The sequence below is a fragment of the Homo sapiens genome, chromosome 5 (assembly GCF_000001405.40).
Source record: "Homo sapiens chromosome 5, GRCh38.p14 Primary Assembly".
NCBI lineage: Eukaryota > Metazoa > Chordata > Mammalia > Primates > Hominidae > Homo > Homo sapiens.
The window spans coordinates 138890862-138911025 of NC_000005.10; the positions used below are offsets into that span (position 1 = coordinate 138890862).

The 20164-nt window shown below is 42.3% G+C and overlaps 1 protein-coding gene across 37 annotated transcripts in view; it reads left to right on the forward strand.

Annotated features, from left to right (window-relative positions):
• CTNNA1 (catenin alpha 1) overlaps nucleotides 1–20164 on the forward strand; it is a 181610-nt gene that overhangs the window by 137437 nt on the left and 24009 nt on the right. For 29 of the 37 annotated variants that reach the window (NM_001323982.2, NM_001323984.2, NM_001290307.3 and 26 more), the window contains one exon: nucleotides 13488–13580. The exons of 3 other annotated variants lie outside the window; for them this stretch is intronic. In NM_001323982.2, coding sequence (NP_001310911.1) covers nucleotides 13488–13580 — 93 coding nt within the window. Of the gene's footprint in view, nucleotides 1–321; nucleotides 351–13487; nucleotides 13581–19657; nucleotides 19716–20164 lie in introns of all 37 variants that reach the window. 5 more of the 37 variants (NM_001324007.1, NM_001324009.1, NM_001324006.1 and 2 more) reach the window with 2 other exon arrangements.

Genomic DNA, 20164 nt, shown 5'->3' on the forward strand with positions numbered 1-20164 from the left:
AAGATTCAGAGGTTTCCTCACAGGAATCCAGGACAAAGACCAGACCAGACAAATTATATAATACCTCCCCATCTTAAAGGTATGTGGAATGCATGATTTTTAGGTAGCTTGACTACACAGGCCAGCTTAGCATGCTGCAGAGTCATAAACACCACCTGGAAGAGGTAAGGCAGGGCAAGTTTGTTTCTGCAGCTTTTTGTCGATCCTTTTTATGGTTGTTACCCAGTGATTTACCACTTGTCTTATTGGGTGCTATTTGCTTTGAGCTTTCCTTTTCCCTGGAGATGCTCTTTTCTGAGTCAAGTTTTTTCTTCTCCGCAGGGAATCTGATCCCATCTCTTCACACCAGAGTGAGTGGTCCTTTCTCATAGAATCATAGGTTCTTAGTCTGGTGTGTAAATCCCTTTCACTTGTAATCTTTATTGTCATGTCTGTATTGGATCCTTCAGCAGTGGGAAACTCTCCCTCCAGAGACAGCATATTTAACTGGTATGGTAGATTCTCTGGCTGTTAGAGGAGGGGAGTTACAACCTCCTTTTTTTTTTGGAACCTCTCCTGTCCATGTGCTTGCTGATTACACACATGTGAATTAGAAGTACTTTAAACATAAGATTAATGGCCGGGCACTGTGGCCCATGCCTGTAATCCTAACATTTTTGGAGGCGGAGGTGGGCAGATCACTTGAGGTCAGGAGTTCGAGACCAGCCTGGCTACATGGTGAAACCCCATCTCTACCAAAAATACAAAAATTAGCCGGGCATGGTGGCGGGTGCCTGTAATCCCAGCTACTTGCGAGGCAAGGTAGGAGAATTGCTTGAACCCAGGAGGTGGAGGTTGCAGTCAACCGAGGTTGTGCCACTGCACTCCAGCTTGGGTGACAGAGCGAGACGCCGTCTCAAAAAATAAATAAAATAACAACAACCACAAAAACAAAAAACCATAAGATACATATGTGAAAGGAAAATAAATCTTGGGACCCCCAAATCAGTAAGCTAAAGGGAAAAATCAATCTGGGAACTGCTTAAGGCAAACCTGCCTCCCATTCTTTGCAAAGTCATTTCTCTGCTGTGGGGATAAATGCATATGTGATTGATTGCTTCCTTTGGAAAGGGAATCAGAAACTCAAAAGAATGCAACTGTTTGTCTCTTATCTACCTATGACCTGGAAGCCCCTTCCCTCCTTCGAGTTGTCCAGCCTTTTAGACAGAACCAGTGTACATCTTACATATATGGATTGATGTCTCATGATTCCCTAAAATGTATAAAACCAAGCTGTGCCCCAAGCACCTTGGGCACAGGACTTCCTGAGGCTGTGTTACAGGCGTGTCCTTAACCTTGGCAAAGTAAATTTTCTAAATTGACTGAGACCTATCTCAGATATTTTGGGTTAACACATACTTACATATTTTCAGGATGTGATATAGAAAAAGAATATAAAATATGGAAAAAGAATATAAAATAGCTTAGTTTTTTTTTTTTTTTTTTTTTTTTTTTTTGAGACAGAGTCTTGCTCTGTCGCCCAGGCTGGAGTGCAGTGACATGATCTTGGCTCACTGCAACCTCTGCCTCCCAGTTTCAAGCGATTCTCTGCCTCAGCCTCTCAAGTTGCTAGGATTACAGGTGCCTGCTGTCACGCCTGGCCATTTTTGTATTTTTAGAAGAGATGGAGTTTCAGCATGTTGGCCAGGCTAGTCTCGAACTCCCAATCTTGATCAAGTGATTCGCCCGCCTCGGCCTCCCAGAGTGCTGGGATTACAGGTGTGAGCCACTGTGCCCGGCCCAGTAATAATTTTTTATATTGCTTGTATGTTGAAATAATTTTTGGTACCTTTTTGCCTTTTTAATGTGCCTACTAAAAAAATTTAAAAATTCAGGCTGAGTGCGGTGGATCATGCCTGTAATCCCAGCACTTTGGGAGGCTGAGGCAGGCAGATCCCCTGAGGTCAGGAGTTCGAGACCAGCCTGGCCAACATGGTGAAACTCTGTCTCTACTAAGAATACAAAAATAGCCAGGTGAGGTGGCAGGTGCCTGTAATCCCAGCTACTCGGGAGGCTGAGGCAGGAGAATCACTTGAACCCGGGAGGCGGAGGTTGCAGTAAGCAGAGATCGCGCCGCTGCTCTCTAGTCTGAGCAATAGAGATAGACTCCGTCTCAAAATAAATAAATAAATAAATAAAAATAAATTAAAAATTCTTCAGTGGCTCTTGTACTTTTGTTGATCTAGATGATTTCCCTGAGCCTTTTAGAGGGTCATTTTTGTCCCAGCTCTCCTCTGAATGCCCTTCACTCAAGGCCAGCCCTCACGGAACACCTGTTCCGGGGTCTGGGGATGAGGGTAGAGCAGTGGAGGCTGTCATCATTCCGGAAGGAGACTGCCCAGTGTATCCCAGGATGCCTTCAGCCTTTTGGGCAGCAGCCTCACTTTGTGATGCCCATTGAGCTCACAGTTGGTCAGCATCCCTAGGCTTTCCATACATAGGTGCTGCTGCTCAGTGTCATCATGTTCGTTCCTATCAGCGTGGATGTGGGTGGGTGTTTGGCTCTTATGTATGGCTTTGAAACTCATCTAGTATAACCTTATATTCCATCTCATGTTCTGTCCTATCAGGATTCCTGCTGCATTTTTCCACATATTATTGGCTGCCCCCTTCCATTTGTGTCCTTTCTTTAAAATAAAATATCTTTTCTCCTTTTATCCAACCTGATGTTTTATTTTTATTTTATTTATTTATTATTTTTTCTTATTTAATTATTTTTTAAAATTTATTTGTTTATTTTTGAGATGGAGTCTCTCTCTGTCACCCAGGCTGGAGTGCAGTGGCGCAATCTCGGCTCACTGCAACCTCCACCTCCCAGATTCAAGTGATTCTCCTGCCTCAGCCTCCTGATTAGCTGGGATTACAGACACGTGCCACCACGCCCACGTAATTTTTGTATTTTTAGTAGAGATGGGGTTTCACCATGTTGGTCAGGCTGGTCTCGAACTCCTGACCTTGTGATCTTCCCACCTCGGCCTCCCAAACTGCTGAGATTACAGGCGTGAGCCACCGCGCCTGGCCTATTTATTTTTTTTGAGACAGAGTCTTGTTCTGTCACTTAGGCTGGAGTGCAGTGGCATGATCTCTGCTCACTGCAGGCTTCGCCTCCCGGTTCAAGCAATTCTCCCTGCCTCAGCCTCCCAAGTAGCTGGGATTACAGGCACCCACCACCCTGCCTGGCTAATTTTTGTAGTTTTTAGTAGAGATGGGGTTTTGCCATGTTGGCCAGGCTGGTCTCGAACTCCTGACCTCAGGTGATCCACCCGCCTCAGCCTCCCAAAGTGCTAGGATTACAGGTGTGAGCCACCATGCCTGGCCTCTGATGTTTAAAAAATGTTGCCTAAGATTAGGCATAATATAGAGCCTTTACTTTTCTTTCTCTTTTTTTTTTTTTTTTTTGAGACAAGGACTCACTTTGTCACCTAGGCTGGTGTGCAGTGACACAATCATGGCTCACTGAAGCCTTGACCTCCCAGGCTCAGATGATCCTCCCATCTCAGCCTCCTGAGTAGCTGGGGCCACAGGTGCACCACCATGCCTCACTAATTTTTTTCATTTTTTGCAGAGATGGGGTTTTGCCATGTTGTGCAGGCTGTTCTCAAACTCAAGTGATCCTTCCACCTTGGCCTCCCAAAGTGCTGGGATTACAAGTGTGAGCCACTGCGCCTGGTCTACTTGGTTTCTGTGGCCACCTCCCTAGTCTGCACTGCCATCTCTCACTGGGCTTCTGTAGCAGCCTCCTGATTATGATTATGATTATGATTATGATTATGATTATGATTTTCTAGCACTAACCCTGTCCCTCCCCTGACCCACCCATCCTGTGGCTTCTAGGTAAGCCTGGAATAATATTCAAAAATCCAGATTCTCAACCATGGCCCCTAAGTTTCCCTGCCTACAACTGCCTTTCGTCCTGTGTCTCCCTTGCTGAATGACTTCTGCCATAGTTGACTAGTTTTCATCTTTGACCATACCTAAACATGTCACCACCTGTGCCCTCTACCCACATGTCACTTCTGTAGAGAAACTTTCCTGGAACGCTTATCCCCTCCATTGCATCCTCTAGCAGTCATTTTTTCATTCACCAGTTTTACATCCTTTGTAGTGCTTCTTACTATCTGAAACTATTGAATTTATTTTCTTATTTGTCTGGCCCCCACCCCATACTCCAAAAGAATATAAGTTATCTGAGGACATGGGCCAAGAATAGTACCTAGAATATAGTAGGTGCTCAGCAACTACTAGATGAGGGAACCTATTGGTTCTCAAAGTTAATAAACATTAGAGTTGCCCAGGTGCTCAACATTCAGATTCCTGGGCTACCACCCAGCCCCCTCCCCAAGATTCTGATTTAGTGGGCTGAAGACTATACTTTAGAAATGCAGAGCTCTACATTATGACTGATCGTCCTTGTTAGTGGACTTTGTCTTATTCTGAAGTATGTGTAACATTTGCACAAAAGAGCGTTGTAATGCATCTTGCATATATACCCAGTGTGCACAAGGGGAATGAACTGGGAAAACTTGTGGGATGTGGAGATGGTGGGAAAAATTTGGAGATTTTTTTTGAAAAGGTTAACTGACATTGATTTGAGCAGTTTTTTGGGGGGGGGGATGGGAGTGGCTAGAATGAAGCTTTCAAAAACCTGTAGCAAACTTCCTGTATTTGAGGGAGAAGAAAATTGTAACAAAATTCTTAAAATAAGTATTTATAGATTTCTTAGTATGTCCTGGTCACAGTTCTGGACATTAGGAATATAGTAGTGAATACAACAATAATCTCTACTCACATAAAGATTATCTTGTACTAAATACGTATTTTATATAATGTATATATTTTTTACAATGTAGTAGAAATTGTACTGAGGTGATACGTGCAAGTTGTCCATTTTATCAGAGTTTGAAATGAAAGTTGAACAAAAGCTGTTATTTCAGTAGCATTTTAATACATGACCAAAACAAATTTGGGGCAGATGTGTTGATTCTTGCTAACTTGGTTTTTGGAAATCTTATCTGTTGCTTTGATAGAAATACTTTTCTCCCAGACCAAATAAAACAGTATAAAAAGGTTATGCTTTAATCTGGAGTTTCACATAAAGTTGCTTCAAATATGTGAATAGTTCCTGAGTAGTATTAGGGCTAACACCCACTCAGAAGTGGAAGTGTTTTATGATGCCTTGTGTGTATATCACACTATGGAAATAAGATTCATTTCAAGAATAAAAACCACATATTGACTATTGAGGTTTTATCGACAGAAGTAAATTCCTCTAGTCCCCCTGTGTGTACACAGTGTCAGGGAGTCTGTGTGGTGCAGGCTGCCTATTGGATCTTTATTATTTTTTGAGATGTGGTTCTTGCTTTTTTGCCCACACTGGTCTCAAACTCCTGGCCTCAAGATATCCTCCCTCCTCAGCCTCCCAGGTAGCTAGGACTACAGGTGCACATCACTGTGCCCAGTTCTGGGTCCTTATTTTAATAAGAATCTTTTGTGATTTTACTTAAAAGCAAATAGCAGAATATTCGCCATGAGATCTCTCTTAACTGTTATTTTCTGAGGGTCTGGCTGGGACCTGTGACCGCCTCATACTGCACTTCTCAGTGGAATCTGGTAACTCCCTGCATGGTATTGAAGCCACTTCTCTTGTGTGAAGGGTGCATAGATGTTGTTTATCCTCAAGGCCAGTGAGTAAGGGGAGCAGGAGCCAGAGGGCTGGTATTGGTGGGCTGGATGGCTCTTCCCTTTACCATTTTCTTCTGTTCTGGAGTGTAGCATAGCACTGAGGGCATTTCTTTCATCTGTTTATAAAATAACATGGCCTTTCAAGGCCATGGTAAGGATAACACCTTTTATACTCACCCCTTTCTCCCCTATCAAGTTCATGATTTCTTTATGTTGCTCTTCAATTTAAAGTGTACTGAGGTGAAGAATTTATTCGCTATCAGAAATATTAACCTTTTTGTCAATAACGCAGTACCCATGTGTCCTTTTTAATTGCTTCATTCCTTGCCCACCTCCTTTGGCTGTGAGCAGCTTAAACAGCCAAAGAGCATTGTTTTACCTTTTATTTTGCTCTCTTCTGAGTACATTTTCAATTTTGTGAATTGAGAGAGTGGCATAGGGAAAATGCCATTAATGAAATCCTGCCTATAAAAATGATATATTATTCATATGATATATACAGTGATTGTGTTTCATCCTTTCCCCGCTACCACCAGTAACTTCAGTCCAAAATCCTTTCCCCTCAGCTCCAGACCTTGTATTAAAATGTGGCTGTTATTATAATGAATTTGCTACAATAAGATTCTATTCCATGGACTACCTTGTGAATTAAGAACCAAAAAGTGAATGTAACTGGCATGCTTTTGAGCTGTTACCTATACCTCACACCGCACCCCCCCCCCCCCCGCCCCCGCCCAGCACACACAGTATTTCCCATTATCTGGAACTTCATAGGCTATGGCTTTATTGGTTTGAAATGTATATTTTAACTGCAAATTGGATGATCTGCATTATAACTTTTATTCCGTAGTATGCTGATAATATGTGGTAAAGTGGCCTTGAAAAAGGCTCTGTAAGGAGCATTTGAATTAAACACTGACCTGACGTGACTACCTGTGACATCTTGGGTATTTTCTCAGTACTGTAGGCTGATATTCTGGCAAAAAGCAAATTTTAAATGAAGCTTCAGTTTTCTCAGATTATGGAATGTTTTCACGAGAGAAGTTAGCTGTCCTTGGGGAGAATGCTGACCTTGGATTCCAGAATTCTAAGCATACTAGCTTGATTTTTCTCACATATTCAAGGGTTTGTAAGTTCAGACCCTTACTTTTGTTTGAGACAAAATTGTCTTACATGTGTTCTATTTTTAACACTTTGACCAAAAATAAGCTTTTTAGGCAGAATTTAACTACCTCGTCACATTATGGGATGATCAAGCAAAGGCAGTTGGATGAACCTTGTTCTCAAGGGGCATCAGGATTCTTCTTTTCTCTTGGAGCATTGGTAGGCATGACTAAAGAAGCACTCTGCCCAACCTTTGCTCTGTTCCAGAAAAGAGATGCAGTTTGGATACAGCTTTTGATACAGTTTGGGTATTTGTCCCTGCCCAAATCTCATGTTAAATTGTAATCTCCAGGGACCTGGTGGGAGGTGTTGGATCAAGGTGTTTGGATCTGTCATAGCTGGTGCTGTCTTTGTGATAGTGAGTTCTTATGAGATCTGGTCATTTAAAAGTGTGTGGCACCTTCCTCCCCCACCCCCCCCCACCCCTTCTCTTGCTCTTCGTCTTACCGTGTGATATGTCTGCTCCCACCTTTGCCTTGCACCATGATTGGAAATTTCCTGAGGCCTCCTCAGAAGCAGGTGCTACTATGCTTTCTGTACAGCCTGCAGAACTGTGAGCCAATTAAACCTCTTTTCTTATAAATTACCCAATCCCAGATATTTCTTTATAGCAATGCAAGAATGGCCTAATACAGCCTTCTTGTTTCCTCATCAGTAGAGCTGATGGATTAATGTTTAGAGAGTACCTTTGCTAGCTTTACTTATAAATTATTCACACACTTAGGTAGACTAGAAGTAGAGAACTTTAAAAGTGGTTCATATAATACCATGTGAATGGAAATGATTACAAGATCATCTGAGTGGTGATCTGCACCACTGCACTCCAGCCTGTGTGACAGAGTGAGACCCTGTCTTAAAAAAAAAAAAAAAAGTTATCCTAAAGCTTTACTACGACATGTCTAAGTGTGGATTTCTTTTTATTTGCCCCATTTGGAATTTGTCTTCCCAAGTCTGAAAATGATATTTCATCCCTTCTGAAAAACATTCAGCCATTATCTCTTTCAGCATTGTCTTTCCCATCATTCTCTCTGTTCTTTCTTTGAAATTCTTGGTAGTTAAATAGTAGACTTTCTCAGTTTATCTTGCATGTCTCTTAAATTCTTTTGTGGTTTCCACATTTTCCATAAGATGAAAATATCTTGGTTTTTCTAAAGAATTTCCTCATTTTGACTTTCTAGGTTACTAATTCTCTTTTCAGTAGAGTTTAAGTCAATATCACTTTAAATTTCTAGAAGTGGTAGAAATTACTACTTTTTTCTTGAACTTCTATTTTGATCCTTTTCAAATCTGCCTAATTATTTTTGAGTGTCTTTTTCCTTATCTGTACTCTTCTGTTAACATAAATATATTTTTTAAATTGCATTTTCGATCATTTGAGTATTGCGTTATTATGGATCTGATTACACAGGTGGTGGTTTTGCTTATTCTTGCCCAAGACGGCTCATTTCCTTGTATACTTTTGTTTTTGTTTTTGTTTTTTTAATTTGTGAGTTCACATTCCTGGAGTTTTATTGTGGGAATTCTTTGAAGCCTGTGTTTAGCTTACCTTCCATGAGGTAAAATTTTCATTTATATTTGCTTCTGCCACCTGCTTAGAGGTACTACTAATACATAACCTCTTAAATGTAAAAGTTTTCTGAACCATATACATAACATAATTTCTATACCTAAACCTCTGCCAGCTTTTGATTAGAATTTGGAGTGGGGTATAGGGGCTTTTTCTTCTTTTCCTCCCTGAGCGAATGCTTAGACTGAGAAATACCCTCTTTCCATGGTGACTTTCTTGATCACTCTTAGGGTTGGTCACTTACTAGGGTTGTTGCCTTTTGCCTGTTCCAGCTCTGCGCAGTCTCTGATCTGAGTCATCTACCTTGAGAGGACCCTGGCCTTGGCCCATTAAAACCCAAGTTCTCATCATGAAATGGTGCCTCCCTGCAAAACCCCCCACCACCCACCAGAGGAAACACTGTTTTGGCTGATTGCTTACTTCTCTGAAGTTCTCCTTTCTCTTTTCTAGCCTCTGACAATTTCTCTTAATTTTTCACCTGCCTAGCTCTGCATTAAAAATTGAAAAAGCATTATTAAAGCATAATCTGTATACCATAAAATTAACCATTTTAAGTGTACAATTCAGATTTTGGTAAGTTTACAGAACTGTGCACCCATCACCACAATCTAGTTGTAGAATTTTTCTATTATCCATGCATACTTCATTTTTCAGTATTGTAAGATATCTTATTTCTCCTAATAAGATCACCAACACCTTTCCCTGGAAATTGGAAAGGTAGGGGCTTATCATCATTTCCCCTGTGGGTTTGGAAGTAGTTGTTAAAAACTTATTGAGTGCCTCTGAAATGTTATGACCTGCATTTGGGACTTTTACTTTATGTACGACAAGTTTGTAAAAGTTGAGTTTTTGATTTTATTGTTATTTTTGACTTTTAGACATTCAGATCATTTTAAAGAAGAAAACTCGGGTGCTAGCTTGGCCCAGGGGCACAGGGGAAGAGATGAATGTTTTGAACTCTGTTCCTTTGGGCTGCTGCTGCGTTGGTGGGTCATTATTTAGACTTAAAAGCTCCCTGTCCCACATCTCTTCTCACTTGCTTACTCCTACAACAGGTATAAACTGTTATGAGAGTCAGTCATTAATTTATTATCAAGAACAAAAAGAAATCTTATCTTGTCTTCCTACAAACATTCCAGGATAAGAGGAACTCAGCCAAATAGGAAGCCAGGAGCAGTTAAGGAAGTGGGAAACAACTTGTGTTCGACTTCAGTAAATCATAAATCTATGTATAATAGAGAAAAATAGTCATTATGGTTACAGAAGGAGCAGGATTGAAATAAAGTCATAATGGGATTTTTTCCTAAATGAAACTTCATTTAACAAATTTTATGTAAGTAAAGATCATCCATCGTGGAGTAAAGGTAGAGCCTTCCTAAAAGACTGAAAAAGTTGTCTGTCATGTACAGATGTCTAATCTGTTGATCTGACACAGGGGGGCTGTGAGTCATTTCCTCAACAGCTCAGATTTGAGCTTGGGTTTTCCTGAAACCAGCAAAACCCAAGGCCGATTGTTTAAATGTTTTCTGAAACCTGCTCTTCCGCAAGGTCCAAACTTCCACACAGTAGGCACAGATGGTACAAAAGAGGGCTGCCTGATCTCAAACTAGTGGTTGTGGTGTCAGTCTTAGCCTACCTCTTCGAATAGTGGGAATCAGAGACATTTTAGTTGTTAATACAAGTAACTGTGGTAGGAAAGATAATAATTTATTCTCCTAACAAATCCAGAGATACTTCTCACTGTTCTACGAAGTCTTGGCTCTGCTGGGTTCTCTGTGGAAGTTAACTGCTCCAAGTGTTTTTCTTTTCTCTTCTCTTCTCTTCCGCTCCCCTCCCCTCCCCTCTTTTCTCTTTTCTCTTTTTTGAGAGAGTCTCGCTCTGTTGTCCAGGCTGGAGTGCAGTGGCGCCATCTCAGCTCACTTCAACCTCCACCTCCTGAGTTCAAGCAATTCTCATGCCTCAGCCTCCCAAGCAGCTGGGATTACAGGGGCGTGCCACCACGCTGGGCCAATTTTTGTATTTTTAGTAGAGGTGAGGTTTCACTATGTGGCCAGGGGTGGGTCTCCCAACTCCTGGCCTCAAGCAGTCCGCCCACCTCGGCCTCCCAAACTGCTGGTATTACAAGCATGAGCCACCACACCCAGCCTCTTTCTTTTTTTGGGACATGGTCTTGCAGTCATGGCTTGCTGCAGCCTCGACCTTCTGGGCTCAAGCTATTCTCCCAACTCAGCCTTCCAATTAGCTGGGACTATAGGTGCGTGCCACCACACCCAGCCAATGAAAAATTTTTTAATGTATAGAGATGGGGTCTTGCTATGTAGCCCAGGCTGGTCACAAACTCCTAGCCTCAAGTGATCCTCTTGCCTTGGACTGGAAGCCACTGCACCCAGCTCAGAGTGTTTCTCATTCTAACCTCAGGATCTTCTTTAGTCTCATTGTTAATAGTTACGTCATTCTAGAGCCCCAGATTTTCCACAGAAAGAGGCATTTAGGAAGCTCCTCTCCTCGCCCTCTCCTTTCACTGTAGTCAGGCCTGACACTAGTATGTGAGGTTAGCCTCTCAGAGAGCTATGGTCATGATGTTGCATTTGCACATTTGTCATTGTTAGAAGTGAGTAGCCCTGTCCCTGGGGGGTGAATTGAAGCTCATTCATCTGGAGAAGACTGTTAGTGACAGGCACTCCTTCCTCCTCCCAGGCCTCCTGAAATAGGCAGTGTGCTCTTGTAGAACATTACTGCTTCAACAGTACACCAGAAATATTTTAAAGTAATGTTTTAAAATAAAGAACAAGTCTTCCATAACCTTTGTTTTGTTAGTGTTTGTAATCATGAAACAGAAAAGATGGTTTAACAGCCATTTCAGCCTTAGCCACACACTACCCTCATGTGTCTGATGTAGAGAGTACTTACGTAATCTTTTGCTTCTTTTTTAAAAATCTTTTGCTTCTTAATTTAAATATTTTTCTGAGTTTTAAGGATTCATAAGATTGAGAATATAGATTGAAATAAGATTGTGCTAGTAGTGACTGTCCTGGATCCAGCATTCAAGTGGCCTCCTAAATGATTGGAATAGGCAGGGTGCTGGGCACCTCACCAGGGATCTTTGTTTTTTGTTTTTGTTTTTGAGACGGAGTCTCGCTCTGTCGCCCAGGCTGGAGTGCAGTGGCGTGATCTCGGCTCACTGCAAGCTCCGCCTCTCAGGTTCACGCCATTCTCCTGCCTCAGCCTCCCGAGTAGCTGGGACTACAGGCGCCTGCCACCACGCCCGGCTAATTTTTTTGTATTTTAGTAGAGACGGGGTTTCACCGTGTTAGCCAGGATGGTCTCGATCTCCTGACCTCATGATCCGCCCGCCTCGGCCTCCCAAAGTGCTGGGATTACAGGCATGAGCCACCGTGCCCGGTACACCAGCGATCTTTGTTAGTCACAAAATGCTAATTTTTTCAATGATCATCATCAGATTTTATGTTTGTTGTTCAAAATGTCGTCTTAAGGCAGTGAAGCAATAGAAGTTGTAGATTACTCTTCATGAACACATCTAATTCAAGCTTTCTCCTTCAATGAATATTTGTTTCCTTTTTTTTTAAGTCTTACATTTTACAAAATTTATCTTAGGTCATATTTTGCAGTGATTTTTTAAGCAAACAAATAGAAATCCCCAGTCATCTCTGTAGATTTGTCATCCTGAAAAGAAATGTCTCTCTGCTTGGGTCCAGATGACAGAGAAGGTGGAACTGTAAGTGTCAGGGAGTATAAGTGTTGCTTCTTTATGTGACTTTGAAGGACTCATAAACATCAGAGATCTGACTTTCCAGTTCCTTTACATTTTTATGTTTAAATTGCACGTTAACTTCTTTTGTTTCTCCTTGTGTTTGGGCATTGCAGGATTCTGATAGTTAGCAGTCTTATAGAAAGCTGATAATCCTTAACTGTAGCACTACAAACAACTGCCGTAATAGTGTATAATTTTTCTGATGTGTTTATGTGCTTAAGTTGGGCGGAGGAGTGAAAATCAAAGGTTATTGCCATTGCCCTTGTTTACTCTAGCATTTAAATTCCCAGAAAGTGCCTCTGATATTCAACTGCCTACGCCTTTATCATTCATAACTCAGTTTGCAACTGGGGTAAAGATGTGTCTCAGTACCGTGTATTCAGTTGGGCCCAGATATTGCTAATGGAATTGGCAAGCCTGTTCATTTAGAAATATGGATAAGTGATCACAGCCTTAGCAGTCACTACGCAGTAACATTCCAGAGCTTCAGCAAAGGAAGTATGACACAACCTGGAAAGATTGTTCCTGGCCACGTGAGCTGTATCATTGAGATGGCTGGACGGGAAGGTAAAGATTTCGGTTCAAATTAAGCCGCATCAGCCAGGAGAGATTCAAGCTGTCAGTGTTTTTGAGAACCCAGTTGAAGGGCAGTTTTGCTTTTAACTATGAAACATAACCAGTTTCCTTTTCCACTTTTGATCATGATTGCCTTTGGTCCATCTTGATGTTGTCTTCATGTTATTTTTTTTTGTTTGAAAAATTGTCTGGTGTTCAAATAAAATTCATCTTGCCTTAAATTAAGCATCTATTCCCTGTCAAATGAGCATAGCACCTTAGAGTTTTTTATTTCCTTCCTTCAAGAACACTGCAAAACACATTTTTGAGGATAACAACAGTTCTTTCCTGATGCCCTTGATTCTTCAGCTTTTCTCACCTTATTGCCCATACTAGAAGAACCTTTTTCTGAAGTTACTGTTCAGGCGGGTTAGAGGCCATGCAAAGCATGTGAGTTACAGGCCCTGGGATCTTTCAAGGTTTTGCCACCAACCTGCAATGTGATGTATGTTATGAGTCTGTATAGTTTGCTTTGTGTAGAGTTAAAAATGTGTCCTCATCTAAGTAAATAATCAGGCTGTGAGAAGGGAGGCACCCTTGGTGCCCTTGTCATCTGTTCCAGAATGGTCAGAGGTAGGGCCAGGTGTGTGTTTTTTCCTTAGCAGTCAAAAGAGAAAAATCTTTAAAGATTATTTTTTATGTTTATAGGTTGCCAACTTGGCCTGTTCCATCTCAAATAATGAAGAAGGTGTAAAGCTTGTTCGAATGTCTGCAAGCCAGTTAGAAGCCCTCTGTCCTCAGGTAAAGTACAACTGACACTGGTGACAGCATAACCAAATTAAATTTTGATTCAAGTGGAGATGAGGTTTATTTTGTTAAGTTTTGTTTTGTTTTTAGGATTTTAGATGGAAGTCTTGGGGACAGATCACTGACACAGAACCCACATAGTTTGGAATATTTTTTGTTTAACATTAAGTGACATTTGCACGGGAGATTACATGTTACTCCTGGCCCTTCATTGAAAATGCACAGTGGGCTGGGCACGGTGGCTCACGCCTGTAATCGCAGCACTTTGGGATCCCAAAGTGGATGGGTCAGTTGAGCCCAGGAATCTGAGACCAGCCTGGGCAACATAGCAAAACACCATCTCTTAAAAAAAAAATACATATTTTGGCCGGGCACAGTGGCTCACGTCTGTAATCCCAGCACTTTGGGAGGCCGAGGCGGGCGGATCACGAGGTCAGGAGATCGAGACCATCCTGGCTAAAACGGTGAAACCCCGTCTCTACTAAAAAAAAAAAAAATTAGGTGGGTGTGGTGGCAGGTGCCTGTAGTGCCAGCTACTCGGGAGGCTGAGGCAGCAGAATGGCGTGAACCTGGGAGGCGGAGCTTGCAGTGAGCTGAGATCGCACCACTACACTCCAGCCTGGGCGACAGAGCAAGACTCCGTCTCAAAAAAAAAAAAAAAAAAATACATACATACATACATAAATACAAAAATTAGCCCAACATGATGGCGTGCACCTGTAGTCCCAGCCACTCAGGAGGCTATGGTGGGAGGCTGGCTTGAGCCTGGGAGGCAAAGGTTGCAGTGAGCCGAGATCACACCACTGCACTCCAGCCTTGGTGACAGAGTGAGACCTTGTCTTGGTGGGTTGAGGAAGGTATGGTGCCTTCCATTGCTGGAAAATACAGGGTGGCAGTGACCACAGTCTCCTTGAGGGAGAGTCTACACCCTCCTTGAGGGCCATTTGTGACATCTGGCCATCCTGGAACCATGAGAGTTACCTCACACTATTCACCTATATTCATTTTAATGGTCAGTATTTGGGTCTCTGTGTTGGAGGAAACCAAATTCACAAGCTAGTCTCTTTATTCTGTAGTGTCATAAAGCAGCCTTATGATACAGATAGTAACTTAATTTGGCCAGCTTCTGAAGTGAAAGCTCAAGAACTTGTCTCCATTTATAATAGTATATTGGAAGACTGATGATGAAGCTGTGTTACACATCTGGCCCTCTAGAAAGACTCTGAAGCACACATGACAGCGAATGCTTTTTAAGTGCCCAGTGTGTTGCCTGCCTCCTGTGAGAAGAGCTGAGTTTGTTTGTCTGGCTTGACACTCCTTGTCATTCCAGGGATTTCTAAGGAGTATAAGTGATGATTCAGTAGAAGAGGTTTCCTCTCCACTTTCCCATGTGTAAATTGCTCATGGCATACTCTGAGGACTTACCTCTCTTTACATGTCCTGCCAGAAGGCAGTGGCCTCAAATAAAGGAGAGTAAGCAGAGGGACTGGAGAAATGAAATAGAGGTCATAGGAATGAAGTTGCTATGTTATGTCTGCAACCAATTTTAAAATATTCTGTGACTATTATTTGGCTTTTTTCATGTAAATAATCCCTGACATTCAAGGTAGGCAACCAAAATAAGTAAAGCCTCTCTCGGTGGTTATTAATCTGTCATTCTCATTGCTACATAGGTTAGTAGGGCATTTGTTCTAACACCTAACCATGTGGATTAATTTGCCAATGAGAGTTGCTCTGCCTTAATATTACTGTGATGGACCCATTGTGAATTCACATCATCTGATAGACATTTTCCCAGTGTTAGTCCAGTCCTGAAATCTGCCAGTCATTGACAGCTGCATAGATATTTGCAATGGATCCAATCACCACATCCAGAAGGATCTTGGATGGCCAAGTTGTATGAGACAGATTTGAATTTGGATTCTTTCTTCAAGTTTGTTTGCCATTTACCCTATCAGCACTTTGTTTTTAATGTCTTTGGTTTTCCATTTGGTCTTGAAATGCTTGAAAAGCGACAATGCTTTCACAAATCTGTGGAAACAGATGGTAGCATACACTGATCACACCTACCAAGAGTATTTATATAAATGATCTTAAAACCCAGGAAAAAAATCACACGGAGAGTCTAGTAGATCCTAATGAAAATGATGGTGTGCATAACCTGTGTGGCCAAGCCATGTCACATGGGTTTGAGTTAGCCATCAGAAAGCAATGTGTCTTCCTCTCCCTTGCAGTTTCATTTTTCCTACTAAAACAGATTTCAAGAGGAATAGGCTTTAGGCAGACAGTGCCCAGACCACACTTGGTACTGGGTATGTGTCCTGAAAAAAACCATGTTTTTTCAAGTGTGATTATTCTTCAGATTCTCACCTGGGCTCATTGCTACTCTTGCTCACAAACTGCTATGCACACAGGACTGGGCAGGTTCAGTAATGGCAAATAAAGTAGGTGTTTACAGACATGGTCACAGCAAACTGGGCATCATGTGCTTGATTTTCAGTAAGGCAGCTTTGACTTCACCCCAGCCCCGTTATTGCCAGATCCCTTCCTCCTCCTCCTTCTTTCTTGTTTCTTCTTCTTTTTTCTTTTTTTGAGATGGAGTCTGACTCTGTCACCCAGGCTGGAGTGCAGTAGCATGATCTCTGCTCACTGCAGCCTCTGCCTCCCAGGTTCAAGTGATTCTCCTGCTGCAGCCTCCCAAATAGCTGGAATTACAGGCATGTGCCACCATGCCCAGCTAATTTTTGTATTTCTGGTAGAGACGGGGTTTCACCATGTTGCCCATGCTGGTCTTGAACTCCTGGCCTCAAGTGATGCCTGCTTTGGCCTCCAAAAGTGCTGGGATTACAGGCCTGAGCCACCACGCCCGGCCCCCTACATTATTTTAAACAAAAATTCTGCAATTCAGATTTTTCTGTCATGTCTCAATTTTAAACAATTGGTAACTAATTTAAAGTTTTTGAAATCTTTGAGGAGGATAACTCAAACTCTTCTGTGTGCTGCCTCTGGCCTGCTGTGGCCCGTGTGTTTCATGCTCAGAGGATCTCTCCTTCAAGGAAGCGAAGGGCTGTCCCTCGGAGGAAGAGGGCCTTGATTGTGGAGACCTCTGCCTCCTCTCTTGTGGGCAGTGATCACAAGCACCACGGATCCTGATTTTGAGGTATTCCCTTCCAAGGTCTAGGCAAGTTAATCAACATGTTAGGTAACTAGGGTAGTTAGTTAATTCACTAGGAGCTTAATTTGGTGTTTTAATATGCTGCAGCATGTAGCCAAACATTTATTATTTTAAAGTGTGTGTTTCTTTATAGTAAGGCTACTGTTGACCTCTCTTCACAGTGTGGAAGAGGTGCTCAGTGCTTCTAGGATGTATTTTAGTGTTTTATGCCTCATGCCCAGGCTGCTGTACATAGGCAGCACTACAGTTTGGAGTTGGCTCCTATATGCTATTTTTAGTTTCTGGTGGGGAGAAATGACAGGTGGGACCATTAGAGGAGTTTTCATCCCCATGCCCCCCATCCGCCCTTTTTTTTTTCTTCTTCTTCTTCTTCGAGACAGAGTCTCGCTCTGTCACCCAGGCTGGAGTGCAGTGGTGCAATCTCGGCTCACTGCAACCTCCGCCTCCAGGGTTCAAGCAATTCTCCTGTCCCAGCCTCCCAAGTAGCCAGGACTACAGGTGCCTGCCACCACGCCCGGCTAATTTTTGTATTTTTTAGTAGAGATGGGGTTTCACCTTGTTGGTCAGGCTGATCCCACCCTCCTTGGCCTCCCAAAGTGCTGGGATTACAGGCATGAGTCACTGTGCCCGGCCTTTCATCCCCATTTTAAAGTTTGCCCTATAGCAAATTAACTTTTGAGAGACATAGGAAAATCCATTCTACAGTACTCACTTTTTAGCAGTTAAACAACTTTAACTGGAAACATTTGAGATAGTAAAGTTGAGTTCAGGCCCTGTGCTCACATCTGTAATCCCAGCATTTTCAGAGGTCAAGGTCGGGGGATCATTTGAAGCCAGTATTTCAAGACCAGCCTGGGCAACAGAGCGAGACCCCATCTCCTAAAATAAAAGAATTGGCTGGGCATGATGGCGTGCACTTGTAGTCCCAGCTACTCAGGAGGCTGAAGCAGGAGGATCGCTTGAGCGCAGGAGTTCCAGGCTGCAGTGAGCTGTGATTATACCACTGCACTCCAGCCTGGGCGACAGAGTATGACCCCTTTGACCCCTTCTCTAAATATAACATCAAGTTGAGGAAGAAGTAATCTAAAAGTGGCTATATTTTGTTGGGAGAAGGAACCCACATTTTTTGGCGATTTGTTATCATTAAGAAAAGAGGAGGTAGGTCGGCTCTCTCTCTGCATTGCCTTCTACTTGATGGCTACTTTCTCTCACTCTTTTCTCTGGAAAGGGACCTGCCTCCATCCGAGCAGAGCGCCCCGGTCTCACAAACTTTTACGAGGAAGCAGTTTACAAATTGGTTTGGGAAGAGACCAGAATCTGTACCCTTTGTATCCCAGGCATTATGTTTTGCTTGTGAATGTGCCCGTTTTAGTCTATAGTAGCTGCTTTAAATATTTTAATTTTTAAATTCAAAACCATTTGGTGTGCTGGTCAGGAAGAAGAAACAAAAACACAAAAACCCCAAACCTTGCAAACAGCAGCAGGTTTCTGACATTTTGAGTCTTTAAAATCAGAGGAGGGCATTTTGGAGATTATCTCACTCAATATTTTTTCTTAGTTCATTATGCAAGAATGAGCATTACACATTCGTATTAACATTAAGTTAATACAAATCTGGCACTTAAATAATTTATAATGCCTGGTTTAATGCATGGCTTTTCTTGGAAATTTACACAAAGGATGAATTAAGTATATGAAGCCTCTACTTATCTACATTTTTTTCTTTCCTCCCCCCCCACCCTTTTTTTTTTTAAGAGACAGGTTTTCACTCTGTTACCCAGGCTAGAGTGCAGTGGTGCCATCATGAATCACTGCAGCCTTGACCTCCTAGGTTTAAGCAGTCCTTGCACCTCAGCCTCTGAGTAGCTGGGACCACAGGTGGACTCCACCACACTTGGCTAATTTTTAAAATTTTTTGTTTGCCCAGGCTGGTCTCAAACTCCTGAGGTCAGGTGATCCTCCCACCTGAGCCTCCCAAAGTGCTGGGATTTCAGCCTGTGAGCCACTGTCCCAGGTCTCTTTTTTCTTTTGGTATTTCTCACTCACTAAATTGAGAAGTTACTTCTGAAATTGTTCATTCTTCCTTCTGCCTCCCTAGATTTATCTTCCATATTGCTTCTTCTGTCATTGTGCTTATGGGAACCCTGATCATATTTGTGGCTGACATGCTTGACACACATCAAATAAGCATAAACTCAGGCTGGCCTGGCCCCTAGCTCTAGGTGGGAAAATACATGGCCCTTAAAGGAGCACCCCATACATACAGGACGGGGCAGACCTGTGGCTTCAGCTGTCACTTAACCTATTATTTCACAATCATGGGACCATCTGTCTTTGAATCGCTTCACTTTTCCACTTTGGTATTCTCTAATCTGGTTTTTTACAAAGCAGTTTCACAGAGAACTCAAGGGAGATGCTTCTTACTAAAAGTTTCTCTGAGCATTTTCTGTATCCTCCCATCTCTACCCTTCTGTGCCTCCCACCCCTCCTTGACTGAGGTCTACAGGTAACAGCCCCACAGAGGTGCTGTGCTCTTTTCATAAGGCTTGCCTGTTGCTTTGCTGATTTCTGTATCTTAAAATTGGAAAGTGTTTCCTACTTTTCTTTTTTTTTTTTTTTTTTTTTTTTTTTGGAAAAATCTGTGTATATTTGGTATTAGTTCTTTGTATGTTTGGGAGAATTTACCAGTGAAGCCTGGTAACTGTTAAACTCTAGCTGGGCCTGGAATTTGCTTTGTGGGAAGGTTTTTAATGATGACTGCAGTTTCTTTAATAGACAGGGATATTTAGGGTTTTTTTAATTCTTGAGTGAGCTTTGGTAATTTGTCTTTCATTAATTTTCTACTCTTTGTTTTCTTCCTTCTGCTTGCTTTGGGTTTAATTTGCTCCTTTTCTAGTTTTAAAATTGGAAGCTTTAACTCATTGCCTTGAGACCTTCCTTCCTCCTTTTCTAAGGTAACATTTAAACATTTTAATACTATAAATTTCCCTCGAAGCACTGTTTTAGCTGCCCCACAGATTTTTATTATGATGTGTTAAATATGGTTAGGATGGGCAGGAAGGACTCACTGAGAAAGTGATGTATAAACAAAGACCTGAAGGAAATGACAGAGCAAACCACGGAGGATGTCTCAGGGGAGAGAGCTCCAGGCAGAGAGAACAGCAAGTGCAAAAGCTTGGAGGAAGGAGATCAGATATCTAAAACAAGTTTAGGGACTGCAGGGCCTTTGGAGGCCTTGGTCGTAGGCCTTTGGCTTTTAATTTGAGATGGGAAACCATTGAAGGGTTTTGAGTAGAAGAGTGACATGAGCTTACTTAGGTTGTAACAAGATCTCGGCCATGCGCAGTGCCTTACACCTATAATCCCAGCACTTTGGGAGGCCAAGACACAGTGACTACTTGAG